Below are 14,250 nucleotides of genomic sequence, written 5' to 3'. Positions count from 1 at the left end.
CATGAGTAACAATAATATGAACCTAAAGGAAGCAGAAGGGAAGGAATTAACATTTATTTGTGAATTTTTGAAACCAGATATTTAGGAATTAGGAAAAAGATAAATGTTTAAATGAATATATCTAAAAGCTTAGTCTCTGAAAAACAAAAAACAATAAAATAAGTAACCATCTTACCTTAACCAAATGAGGGGAGGGAGAAAGAGAAAGCACAGATACACAAAATAAAACAAGAGACAGGGAAAATAATGATAGATAGAGAAGACATTAAAAGATTTTGCTGAAATCTAGGTAAAGAAATCTGAAAACTTGAATTGAAACAGACAACCATTATGAAGAGTTGAATATGAAAACATGAGTTAATCAAGTGACCAAGACAAGAGAGAACATCTAAAGAGAAGAAATAGTGAAAGTTGTCAAAGATCCACCACCAAGAAGTGTGAAAGATAGATGGCTGAATTCTGCCCAACCTCTAAGAAGCAGTTAATTACCACTTAGCAGTCAGATCCAAACCTGAGAAAGAATAGAACAAATAAAAAAAGAAAACTACTGACCAATCTCATTTATGAATATGGAGGAAGAAAATAATAAGCATAAATGAACAGAATTCAGCAACACACTAAAAATAATACACGCCAACCAAGTAGGGTTTAAATGCAAAGATGTTTTAATGCTAAAAAACCTACTGATATGACTCACTATAGCAGGGGCATAAAACAGGAAAATCATACAATCATCTCCATAGCTGCCTCTAAATATCTATAACATAACTCAAAATACATTATGGCAAATGGAGAAAGACTAAACAAATTCCAATTAAAGTCAGGAACAAGACAAGCATGTCCACTATTGTCACTACTAGTTATCATTATCCTACAGCTAGTAGTCAATTCAATTAGATAAAAGAAAGAACTAAATTGTATAATAGTTGAAAAGAAGGAGGCTCAATTATCATGTTTTCCCCCCAAATAATATGGCAATATATATGGAAAACCTAACAGACTCCACGGAAAAATTATCTTAATTTTATATAATTAAATTAAATAAGTATACATATTATATATAATATTATATAATTTTAATTTATAGAATTAAATCAAATAATTTAATTATTTTAATTATTTTTATTTTTTATTTTAATTATTTTTTTTGAGATGGAGTCTCGCTCTGTCTCCCAGGTTGGAGTGCAGCGGTGTGATCTCAACTCATTGCAACCTCCATCTCCCAGGTTCAAGCGATTCGCCTACTTCAGCCTCCCGAGTAGCTGGTACTACAGGCATGTGCCACCACCCCAGTTAATTTTTGTATATTTAGTAGAGATGGGGGTTTCACCATGTTGACCAGGCTGGTCTTGAACTCCTGACCTCAGGTGATCCACCCCACCTCGGCCTCCCAAAGTGCTGGGATTACAGGCTTGAGCCACTGTGCCTGGCCGGAAAATTATTTTAATTAATAAGATAATTTAAAAAGGTAGCTCTTCCAAACCAATAAACTCCAAAAAGTATCCCTGTATATAAACAATAACTGCCAGAAAGTACTGTGAAGAAATAATTGTGTTCACAATAGCAACTTTAAAAAAGTATACCTAAGCATAAACTTAACAAAATATGCAAAGACATGAAATAAAACTTCAAAACATTACTGAGAAACAGTGAAGACGTGGAAAAACACACTATAGTCTTGGGTAGGAAGACTAAATATCATACAAAAGTTGATTTTTCTCTATATTAATGTATAAATTTAAGGTGATCATAATGAAAATACTAACTTGTTTGCTTTTTATAACTACTCAAGGTGATTTCAAAGTTTACATGGAAAAATAAAATCATTGGATAATAAACAAATAATAAAGCCATATTCATTAAAACCATTTGATATTGCTATATGGAGAATCAGTAATGGTAATAGACCTGAGAGCCTGGAAATTGACCTAGGTATTTTTGGAAATTTTGGTTATTATTTTAAAAAAAGAAAGACATTGGATATCAGTGGGGAAAAGATAAGTTATTCAACAAAAAGTATTGAGTAAATTGGGTAGTAATCTGGAAAAAAATTAAGTTAGCTAACAATGTAAGGATCTCATGCCTTACATTAAATTGCAAGGAATCAAATTTTTAATTTCTAAAAAAGGAAATTATAATCATACTAAAAATATGAGAGAATTTTTAAAATCTACAAGTCAGAAAGACCTTTCTAAAATGTATAGAAGAAAAGGTTTCTGCAAAGCAATAAATACATATCTATATACATAAAACCACATTAAATAAAGCCCAGTCATACTACAAATTGCAGGGAAATTACATTAAAATAAGTCATATTATAAACTGGGGGAAATTACAGTAAAATAAAAATTATAGTAAAATGGCTGTTTTATCTTCTCTATAAGGTGTTCCTACAATAAAAATCAATAACCCGATAGAAAATACACAAATAGGCCTAAACAGTTCACACATAAGGAAACATATATGGCAATTAAACACATTCAAAGACCCTCAATGTTATTCCTAATGAGAAAATGCAAGTCAAAACCACAATCAGATACCATTTTCACCTATCAAATTGGCAAAGATAAAAAGTTTGATATGTATGTGTTGGAGAGAGTGCAGGGAATCAGACAATTATTGGTAGGAATATAAATTTGTACAACTTCTGTGAAGGGTAATGGGAAAATGTAGCAACATTTAAAAATTCACATTTCAATTCTAGGAATTTATCTTACTGATCTTTCTCACGTGTGAGAAATAATTTGTACAGTGACAAAACTTGCAGCATTTGTTTTAATAGGAAAAGGCTGGAAATAGTGTATATACCTGTCAACTGAAAACTAATTATTAAATTATGGTTCATACATTATACTGACACACTAGGTAGCTGTCACAAAGAATATGGCAGCCCTGTATGTATGAACCTGGAATGATCTCCACATTGTGTTATGTGAAAAAAGCAGGCAGCAGAAAATGTATATAGAATGAGTTTGCAGCTGGGCAGGGCAGCTCATGCCTGTAATCCCAGCACTTTGGAAAGCAGGGGCAGGATTACTTGAGGCCTAACATTCAAGACCAGCCTGGGCAACAAAGCAGGTCCCTATCTCTACTAAAAAATAAAATAAAATAAAATAAAAATAAAAATTAGCTGGTGTACTTGTAGTCCCAGCTACTCAGGAGGCTGAGGCTTGAGCTCAGGAGATGGAGTCTGCAGTGAGCCATAATCAGGCAGGCCACTGCACTCCAGCTGGGCAACAGAGAGAGACTCTGTCTCTAAAAAAATGATGATGATGATGATGATGATAATAATAATAATAATAAAAGAACGAGTATGCCTTTTCTCTGGAAGAATGCATAACTAGGTGGTCTGAGGATAGAGTACAGGAAATATTTTACAGTGAACATCCTTTTTATACTTTTTGAAGTGTCATGTGCATTATTCCTTATTCAAAAAATTAATAAGCAAAAGTTCAGGATTACCACCTCAGAGAAACACTTTATTTGGGACAACTGTGAAGAAGTATTTTTAAAAGTATTTTGAACTATCCGAATTAGGAGATCTCTTTACACCTCAAAGGCAAATACAAATAAAGAAAAAGATTAAAATGGTCTTGACGATTTGGTCTAAAGGAGCAGCTGCTGGAGCCATCGAGAGTAGGACTCAGCACTAAGGGTGGGATTTGCTGTGCTGGCCTTGCACACAGACTTCCTGGGACAGCTGAAATCACCACCACAGCCATCCACAAGTTAGAGGCGACTGACCAGGTGCACTAGGAAAATAGGCAAGAGCAGAATAAAATAATTCTCCCCAAACCAGTCATAACCCCTACAGTTTAATTCTTCTGTTATCACACGGTTAACACACAACAAGGAATGGTTTTAAGACATGATGCTCTATTAGGCATGGATAATTTTAAGTTGGTTCCAGCTGTAGCAGACCCTGTCATTTATTAACTGTGAGAACACAAGCATGCTGGTGAGAAGGTGCACATGTCTGAAATAACACGTGGGGGCTCTGTTCCCCTAGCCACAAAATACTGCCTCCCTAGATCCTATGGACAGGTATCTTGGCTCGTCTTTTTTAGATACATGTAATTCATACGGATACTGTCAAAATGAGTGCAGATCAAACACCATCCCTTAAAACTCACTGAGCATCCATGCATGCCAGGAAGGACAACAAAAGGCATAAACCCTGGCTACTCTTTAGCCTTCCTTCTATGTCCGCAGGCAAATTTCTAACCTCAAGACATACACATTTGGGTGAAAACCAGAACAACAGCAACAAAGAGTCGAGCAAAAGCTTTTAAAATGTGGGGAAAGGGAATTTGAAACTCAGGAAAAATGGTTGCTTGCTTGTCTTGTCTTACTGTTTTTTTTTCCTTTTGTCTCCTCTGACTGTGTATTTCCAAATAGCCTGTCTTCAAGCTTGCTAAGCTTCTCTTTTTCTAGGTAGTTGTCTTACCTATTTCTGACGCTACTTTATTTTTTCTCTGAATCCCTGGAGAGAAGCATGACTGAAACAAAAATGTTTCATTGAAACGTTTAAACGAGTGTTAGAATAAACGGAAGCTTTAAGGGACATCGGAGACTTAAAATCGACTCCTATTGTTAAAAGGAAGAAGAAAGTACACTTTTGGTTGTTTTCCTTGGTTCTACCATGTGAGGGGAAAATGTCCCCTCCTCTAATAGGGCGGTAATAACTTACATCAGCCACATAGGAAAGGGGCCAGTTTCATTTTTGACTACACCTTTATTCCCTGGGCAGTCATGGTTGGTGTTTCAATACTGATGTACATGGTTGGGAGGGTGCTCAGTTAAACAGTTCACTGAGAAAAACAATAGTTCACATGTACTGAGCATATTCCCTACACTAGCAATTCTGATTGTCACTTACATAACTATCTCTCATCCCCCAAAACAACTCTTCACAACAGATGTTATCATCCCCATTTCACAGATGAGGAAATGAAGGCTCAAAGACATAAGGTAATCACCCAAGATCAAATAGCTAGGATGTGACAAAATCAGATCCAACCCAAGTGAATTTGATCCCAAGCCTGTGTGCTTTCCACAACTCCCCCAGCCTTCGACAAGCACATCAGTCTCTGCACAGTCCATGCAATGCAGCAAATATGTACTGAGCTTCTTCTATCTGTTAGACACTAAGCTAGCCATGCAACAAAACTATAAACACGAGTAGCAGGTAATCAATAAATGTTTGATGGATAAATAAATCCATAGCTACATGGTTCCTGCCCACAAATGATAGCTTGTAACACTTACTGAAGGTTACTATGTGCCAGGCACTTTTGTAGAAGGCAGAAAAGGAAGGGAAAAAAAGAAGTAATAATAAAGCACAGGGTATACAAGAAAACACAAAATAAGTTCCAATATATGAGTAATCATAATAACCGTAAGCAGGTTATTACATTTATTTTGGGAGGTGGAGGCAGACAGATCGCTTGCCTAGGAGTTCGAGACCAGCCTGGCCAACATGGCAAAACCCCATCTCTACTAAAAATACAAAAATTAGCTGGGTGTCATGGCACGCGCCTGTAGTCCCAGCTACCTGGGAGGCTAAGGCAGGAGGATCACCTGTGCCTGGGTGGTCGAGGCTGCAGTGAGCTGGGATAGCACCACTGGACTCCAGTCTGGGTGACAGAGCGAAACCCTGTCTCAAAAAAAAAAAAAATTCTCTTACCAAAAAGGCCACATATTGTAAGATTCCGTTTATAGCAAATATCTATAGAAATAAAAAATAGATTAGTGGTTGTCAAGGATTGAGGGGAGGGAGATGAGAAGCGACTATTAACGGGTTTCTTCTTGGGGTGATGAAAATGTCTGGAATTAAATAATGGCGATGGTTGCACAACTGTGAAAATTCTAAAAACCACTGAAATTGTGTATTTTAAAAAGCTGAATCTTATGGTATGTGAATTATAGCTCAATAAAACTGATTTTTAAGAAAAAAACTGCTGTAGCATTATTAATATCAGGAAAAAAGAATCCAGGGCAAAAAATATGAATAGAAATATAAAATAGTTTGGAAGCATACATGAAAATTTACTTAATTGTGCCATAAGTTACGGACAAGTAAAGTGTCAGAAAGAAATGTCTGAGCCAGGTCTTCCATGACTGAAGCAGGGGCGGGTATGAGCAGAGTCCTGCCCTGTGTGAGTGCATGGGTGCTGTGGCTTGGGGGTTGTGGCAGGAAGCTCACAATGCCAGGCTGTCAAATGCTGGGCTTTTGGACCTTATTTTGTAGGTTTTTAAAGAGAGGAAAGATGTTGTTAGACATCTGTGTTCTAAAAACAGCACCGTGGGGCTATGTGTGGAAACTGAATTGTAGGGAGAGGAAGGAGCAAACAGGTATATCAATTTGGGGACCCACATGAGTAAGGATGGGTATTTATTTAAATCAGAGTAACGGCAATGGGATAGAGCCAAGGAGGAAATCAGATTGGATGTCTGGGATGGGGAAGAAGAAAGAGCCTGGGGTGACCCCTTGGGTCCTTGGTGGTCAAGACAATGTAGTGTTAAACGAGACGGAGGAGAGAGTGGGAAGCGGTGGTCAATGAGCAGAGAGAATAGATTTTAATTCGAAACATTTTGAGTTTGAGGTGCTTTTGGCAAATGGAAATTCAGATCTGAAATTTAGAGAAGAAGCAAGGCTGACAATAGCGATTTAGGAATCTTTACACAGGCAGTTGGGTGCATTTCATTCTCTAACACTAATTCCATGAAGATCTAGAAGAGTACAACATTTAAAATTACTGAGTCACCTTCTGTAATTTCTAATTAAGTCAGACACATGGCTAATAATGGAAGTCAGTCAGGTGGCTGATACTGCTAGCTGCCTACTCAATAACCATTCCCTCTTCTTCCTCACAGCAGAAGCCCTAATTTGAGTGATGGGGTTGCAATTTACCCAGCTAAAAATATTTGATTTATCAGACTCTAATATATTTAGAACAACCCTGTGACACTGTTCTGGCCAATGAGATGCAGGTGGAAGTCCTAGGGAGTGCATCACTTCCTGAATAAAAAGGTAAAACCTCACTAATAGAAGGACATTAATTCCTTTATCTATTTGCACCTTCCTTGTCTTCTTGCCTAGACTGCAGATGGAAGCCTAGAGATACTGCAGCCATATCGTCATCATGAGGCAACCAGATTTAGGATGAAGTCCTATAGGCTAAGTGTGGTGAAGCAGGAAGATGGATGGATACTGGTCTCAGATAGCTCCTGCACAGGCCCCAGACTGCCTTTCTTAGGAGTCTAATTCCACAAGACAAATAAACAAATCCATGTAAGCCAGATTTGGGTGTGTGCACTGGTTTGGTTTTGTTTACTTTGGCAGCTGCTACAATTCACATCTGGATATATATACGGGAGTGGGGAGCTTAAAAGACATGAGCACTATTATTTCAATAATAAAAAATGTTTAAAAAATAAAATATTTATGCTTTCTAGCACTGGATTTTTCTTTTTCCAAGTAGGTAATAAAAATTTTCAGCTAAAGGGAAATTATGGACTGCTGGTATTAAGAAAATTCATAAATACATAATCATCTGTTAATGAGCACATGTGCACAATGACACCCTTTGGACTTTTCCTGGATGAGGTAAACTGATTTGGCTCATTTAAATGGCTTCAGCCAGAGCCAAAGTTCTTAAAGATGAGACTGTTCACTACCTGACTCTCATAAGAATTACAATCTTTGGAAGGAAGGCTCTGGCTCTTCCAGGCACTCAGTAAGCATAGCTAAGAATACAGAATGTCCCTGAACCACAGCATTTTGGCCCTGCAAAGAGCTTTTACTGAGCTGTGTGGGATTATGTCTCCGGAACTGCAGTCAATAAAGTTCTAGGAAACACTTACTTTTGCCTTCTACCACAGCACTTCCATTGTCTTTATGGCAGGGATGATGTTGAAGACTTAGGTCTCTATGGCAACAGTGAGTGCATTGAACACCTGCCAGGAGAAAGTTATCCCAGGTTTCAGGACCAGGAAAAGCTGTGTAACCAATCTGTTTTTATCTCATGGTCACTGTGGATCAGGTAACTATTTATGTTTTCTTTTTTGTTTTGGCTGCTGGGAAGCTCTGGCAAATTTTTACTCCCACCTCTGGAAACTATCCACAACTTATGATCTATTCTGGTTCTGTAAATTACCTCTGATTTTATCTCACTTTCTAACCCGTGTGTTCCCTTTACCTCAGTTTCATTATCTATTAATTTTATGTTGTTTGCTATTTTTGTAAACTCCTTGAACACTTTATGGAACACGGAACATTTAAGGCAAACAATTTTTAAAAGCATCAGATCATCATCATCATCATCATCATCATCATCATCATCATAATGGCTAATTGACTGAACATTGCTATGAATGAGGCACTGTCCTAAGTACCAAATCTATCTTATGGCTGGGCAAGGCAGATCATGTCTGTAATCCCAGCACTTTGGGAGGCTGAGGCAGGAGGATCGCTTAAATCCAGGAGTTTGAGACCAGCCTGGGCAGTATAGTCAGATCCTGTCTCTACAAAAAATAAAAAAAAATTAGCCGGGCATGGTGGCACGTGCCTGTAGTTCCAATTCCTCAGGAGGCTGAGGTGGGAGGATCACTTGAGTGTGGGAGTTGGAGGCAGTAGTGAGCTGTGATCAAACCACTGCACTCCAGCTTGGGCAACAGAGCAAGACCCTATCAAAAAACAAAAAAACAGAATAAATCTATCTTATTAGCCTTAAACATGAGATAAATACTATTATTATCCTCATTTTCTAGATGAGAAAACCAAAACACAGAGAGGTTAAGTAATTTGTCCAAGATCATACAGCAAATAAATGATGCATGTAAGATTCATGCAAAATAGTCCAGGGATTCTGACTTACATAAGTTATACAAAAGAATAAATAATTTCTTAAAGAAGCAGAGGCTTTTTGATTTTATAGGCTGAGCCCTAAAGGAGATAACTATTGGAAATCTCATCCATACAGTTATGCCTGATGGAGCCATATTAACAAAAGGGAATGAGACAGTGAAAGTTAAAACAACAGATAAAACACAACAAATAATTGTCTTTTGATCTTGGAACATACTTCCAGATATTCATTCATTCATTCATTCATTCATTCATTCACTCACACAATTACTGATTCCTCCACTTACACAGTCCTTTAATTCATTCAACAACCTTTAGGGAGTACCCCTCACTTGCCAGGCATGGGGCAGGTGCTATGCTGGGAATGGAGATGAACACAGTTCCTGCCTTCCAGGAGCTCAGGTGCAATAAGAGAGAGTCAGGTAGGTTGGGGACACCTTGGGGTTATGAGTGGGTTGATAAAAGACCACAGCAGGGTGCAACATGATCATTCTGAGAGTAAGTCAGCCTTCGGCTTCTGTCTCCCCTTTGATAAAGGAGTATGAAGAATCAGCTCCCTATAGGGCTGCTGTAGTGATGTCCTACATATAAAGCTCTTAGCCTAGCCCCGGGCAGGGCTAGCTAGTCATTAGCTCTTAAGGAACAGTGGATGGCAACCTGGGCACCTTGCTCAGACACACATGTGCACTCACACAGACACACGTCCTCAGAAACTCAAGCACTGAGACTGGCTACTGCCTCCTCCTAGCTAACCAAGAGCTGACTCTCACAGTCCATGTGCAGGCCTGGCACTCTCTCCTGGATGCCACCATCCTAGATGCGGTGTTAGCTGGAAAACACCACCCACATAGGATGAACATTCCTTCAAGATGCACTTGAAAATCTTCCTCCACAGTGCCTGGCCCACATAATGCCCGCTGGGCATTTTTGTCACGTTTACTCTGCTTTAGTTTACCTCCTTGGCACTTGAACACCGCAGTTCACTACACAATTCCCCTGCTGCATAATGGTCGGGTTCCCTCTTGAACAGGTCTAAGGAAAGACGCAGCTAGAATTGCAAAAGGGGAGTTTCAAGTGCCCTACTGGCTGAAGCCAGTGAGAAAACACGTGTGCTGCCCCTGCCCAGCATCGGCTGGGGAAAGGCATGCCTCTTCGGTTTTGTACAGTGGCTAAATAAAAAGCAATTAATCACTTTCTCACCAACCCTAACTCATATTTAATAGTTCCCCTCGAAGTTTGTTTTGTCATGCTGTCGGCAAAGTCAGTCAAACATTACGATTCTTTTCTAAATATTCCAGCAGCCAGATGGCAGAAGCACCACTGTGACAAGGCAAACTTGCCTAAAGATAACTTTGTGATGCAGAACCATGCTCGATGGCACTGGGCTGAGGGGACTCACCCAGAGCTATTTCTAAATTGCTCCCCTTAACCCACGTTCTTTACACCAAAACTTCCTAAGACAAACATTCAACTCTGCAACTTGAAACTGGTGGTAAAACAAAGACGTTTCTACCTCTTTAAGTTCGGAATATTAGGCAGAAAAATAAAATCACTAGAAGACCACACATCAGGACAAAGTTCTCAGGATTTCTCCGTAGATTTAAGGCTACTGTACCCTAATGTTTCAAATATTTCTGCACCAAAGTTCATATATATTAAATATTTATAACACATTTGCTAGAAAACACATTTCCTTCCTTTTGCTGAGTTATTTGTGTAGGTTTCTTTTTTAAAAACTTCAACATTAATAAACATATTTATAAATTCTAGAATGTAAAAAAGTTGACTGCCATCCTGGTGAAAATTCTATGTTTCCCTCTACTGTTAATCACATTTTGTTTTCTCGGATCTTTCCTAGGTTATATTCTTTATTCTTTGTGTATGTGTTGGAGTGACTGCAAACTCGCAACCTGTACTATATGGTTTCTGAACAATAAGTCTCCTAAAAAGAGCGTTGCCAGGCTAGACCAGCTGGCTTTCCCCTGTTCTTATAACTGTATGTTCTTAGACACACACACACACACACACACACACACACACACTTCCTCCATTCCTTCTGCTGCTGGGTAACTGCAATCTGTGACACAATGTCACACTCACAATTACGTGAAAACAGAGACTCCTAAAGGAACAAAAAGGGGGCAATGGCAGGAAGCCAGCCTACAAGTGTCTGTCACCCTGACCGCTCTGCCCCGATTCAGGTGGCCACAAATTGCCTGTTGAAGGTTGCCTGTCTAGAATTTGAAGTCTGTGTGCCCAGGCTGTTACCCTGAGTAAGTAATTTAACCTCTGTGACCTTTTATTTTCTCATCTGTAAAAAAGGCACAATAACAATATCTCTGTTAAAGAATTGCTGCGAATCACAGGAGGTGATGCACATAAAGGCATCTGCAGTGTATGTTTCATTTCCAGTTACTTCTTAACTTTCTTTTGCCCCTCCTCGCCACTTCTTTTCTGATTTGGTTTTTGTGGTTTTTAAATGTATCTTTGAAATGCATTAGCTGGAAAACTGCAGCAATCTGTGTGTTACCACAATGAGTGGACTTTAGCATCACATTTTTATTTACTTTTTCACTGAGGTAGAATTTACGTTAAGTGCACAAGTCTCAAGGGTATAACTTCAGTAATTCTTAGGTCAAGGTGAGAAGCATTTCTAGCATCCCAGAAGCCTCCCTCATGTCCTGTCCAGGTATTGACCTGGAGTTTATCTCCTTGCAAGGCCCAAAAACAACCTCTCCTCTGACCTCTTTCGTAATGATAAAGTTAAAAAAAATTGAAGGGAGGCAGGAGTCCCAGTGATAACTATTAATGCTGGGCACAAGAAGTGCACTCCCAGTCCTCCCTGTGAAGTGAGAAAAGATTCTGGAAAGGAGGAGGCGGAGGGGCACAAACCTTCTAAATCACACTGGTCATGCCAAACAAGGCCCTCATTTACAGCCAAGGACCCCAGGCACAGAGGCGAAGAGACAGCCTAACTTCCTGCTACAGAGTAACTTTCCTCCCCAATACAGCCAGTTACAAAGCGCCCTGAGTGTCAGGGATTGGCCACACTGTCCCAGGGCGCATGGAACCGCTCTCCTGGCCTTTCCCTGCAGAAACTTCTTTCCAGAGGGAGGCGCACACACGGTCCCCACGCCGCCCCGGCGCCCGCCACGGGCACACCCACGCGGCTGGCACGCCACCCTCCAAAGGCGCTGTTCCTGAGAGCCGGTGCCTGCCTGCCCACGGGGCCCGGGCGGCGCTCCTCCAGGTCCAGGGCGGCCGGGTGCCCGCCCTCCCCGCCACCTTCAGAGAGTGCGTGTCAGGGGCTGGGGGAAATCTGCTCTGCCACCTACCTACCCACCACCTAATCCTCCAAAGGACCCTAAACCCATTTGTGGCCAAATGTACATTGCTGGAGCACAGTCTGACTACTGACCCCAGGGGCTTGGAGATGAGCACGGGAGGGGTGTCCAGAGACCTGCGCTCTGTCCCCATGAGCTGTGTGACCTTGGACAAGTCACTTCACATCTCTGGAGTTGGCTTCCTCACTAGGGGGCTCCTTCTGTATTCCCCAAGCCACCTCCGGCTCTGCAATTTCCTAGCTCTCTTTTACTCCGCCCCAGCCCTTCCCGCGACAGCCCCCTCCCCAGCGAGACCCCAGCCTTTTGTTCCGGGGGCGAAGCGGAGAAGAGAGAGCGTCGCGAAGGACCAGGCCGAGGCGGCCTCGGTGCCAGGGGCTGCTCACCGGGGAGTCCAGTCCGGAGAAGTCACCAAGCAACCCCGTGGTGACCTCGCTCCCCACCCCGCGGTTTGTTTCCGCCCGGCCCGGCCCGGCCCGGCCGGGGCGGCGTGGCAGGGTGCGGGTGGGGGGCGTGAGCGCCGCGCGGCACGTCGACAACCTCCTGGGCCCGGGGCTGCAGCCCGGCGGGGGTTCCCCGGCCCTCCCACGCCCTCAGGATCTCTGTCCCGGGCCGGGCCACTCTGCTCCGGGACCGACCAGGGCGGCGGCCGCCACACCGCCCGTTCCTTCCACCCTCGGGCACCGACCCGCACCCGCGCGGGAAGCCGCTACCTGCAGGTGGCGGAGCCGGGGGCTGGACTGGACTCGAGCTCCGGCCGACGTCTCCGCCGCCGCCGCCTCCGGCTCCGGGCTCCGTCCCGCAGCGCCCGTGCTCCAAGCGGCGCCGCTACCGCCGAGCTGCGCTCGGTGCGCCCGGCTCGCTCCCCGGCCACCGGCTCTGGTGCTGCCGGGACGCGGAGGCGGGGCCGCCGCCCCCACCTGCTCGCAGGCTCCTGCCTGGGAGCCGCCGCCGCCCCGCGGCAGGGACACGGCCCCGGCGGGCGGGGTCGCTCTGGGACCCTGGAGGCGGGTCCCAAGTCGGCGGGCGCGCCTCCCGGGTACAGAGTCCCAAGTCTCAGCTGCGGAGAGACTGAGGCCTAAGGCTGGAATTCCCCAAATAGGAGCTGTTGCGCGGGCGGCACACGGCCCAGCACAGCTACTCTGGGGACACGCCACTCCTTGAATTTATTCCAAAATGTTGAGCCCTTACTAAGCTCCAGGCGGTGTCATAAGCGATGGGGACGAGAGAACAAGATTACCTCTTGCCCTCGTGGAGTTCACAGTCTAGAAAAGGAAAGCGACCAATGGGCGATTACAGCACAACCAAGAGGAGGCAGAGGCCTCCTGAGCCGGCTCCCAGAGGGAGCACCTGATCTAAACTTGGGGTGGGGAGTAGGTCAGGGAGGGCTTCTTGAGGAGCTGACGTCGACGAGAAAAACTGAAGACTGAGTGTGAATTAGCCAGGTGATGAGAGAATTATCCGGGTAGCCTGGGGAGGTAGATTGATGTCCCAGGTAGAGTCGAAGGGAGGAGAAAGCAGACTGAAAACTGAAATAGGGCCGGGCGCGGTGGCTCAAGCCTGGAATCCAAGGACTTTGGGAGGCCGAGGTGGACGGATCACTTGAGGTCAGGAGTTACTAGCCTGGCCAACATGGTGAAGCCCTGTCTCTACCAAAAAATACAAAAGTTAGCCGGGTGTGGTGGCGCTCTCTAGTCCTAGCTACTCGGGAGGCTGAGGTGGAAGGATCTCTTGAACCCAGGAGGCAAAAGTTGCAATGAACCACTGCACTCCAGCCTGGGCGATAGAGTGAGACCCTGTCTCAAAAAACCAAACCAAACCAAACAAAGAAACAAACAAAAACAAACCTGAAATAAGCTTGAAGAACGGAAAACCTTGCTTCTGTCACATTTCTTGTTCAGGCCCTTGGAGGATGCAGAAAGTTTGTGTCCGAGGCTGAATGCATTGCTGTAGGTGCTGAGATCATTGGGTGAGGATTCTGTATTGCCCATGTCCTGGGCATTCCTGCTAGTGGAGGAGCTAAGCGGGTACTCGTGGACT

General features: G+C 43.0%; 1 protein-coding gene across 2 annotated transcripts in view, besides 1 other annotated feature; it reads right to left on the bottom strand.

Moving 5' to 3' along the window:
* WIPF3 (WAS/WASL interacting protein family member 3) overlaps window positions 1-13,094 on the bottom strand; it is a 110,554-nt gene extending 97,460 nt beyond the window's left edge. For both annotated transcript variants that reach the window (NM_001080529.3, NM_001391973.1), the window contains exon 1: window positions 12,924-13,094. The gene's annotated coding sequence lies outside the window, so the exon portion shown is untranslated. The remainder of the gene's footprint in view (window positions 1-12,923) is intronic.
* Window positions 12,449-13,358: an enhancer, noted in NCBI's record as "H3K27ac hESC enhancer chr7:29845860-29846769 (GRCh37/hg19 assembly coordinates)". NCBI's record gives its function as "activates a minimal SCP1, AML or CMV promoter by ChIP-STARR-seq in primed H9 embryonic stem cells {active_cell/tissue: H9 hESC(primed)}" and the evidence as "EXISTENCE:reporter gene assay evidence [ECO:0000049][PMID:30033119]".

Source organism: Homo sapiens, chromosome 7, assembly GCF_000001405.40.
Source record: "Homo sapiens chromosome 7, GRCh38.p14 Primary Assembly".
Classification (NCBI taxonomy): Eukaryota; Metazoa; Chordata; class Mammalia; order Primates; family Hominidae; genus Homo; species Homo sapiens.
This window is presented reverse-complemented; position numbering and strand designations above follow the sequence as displayed.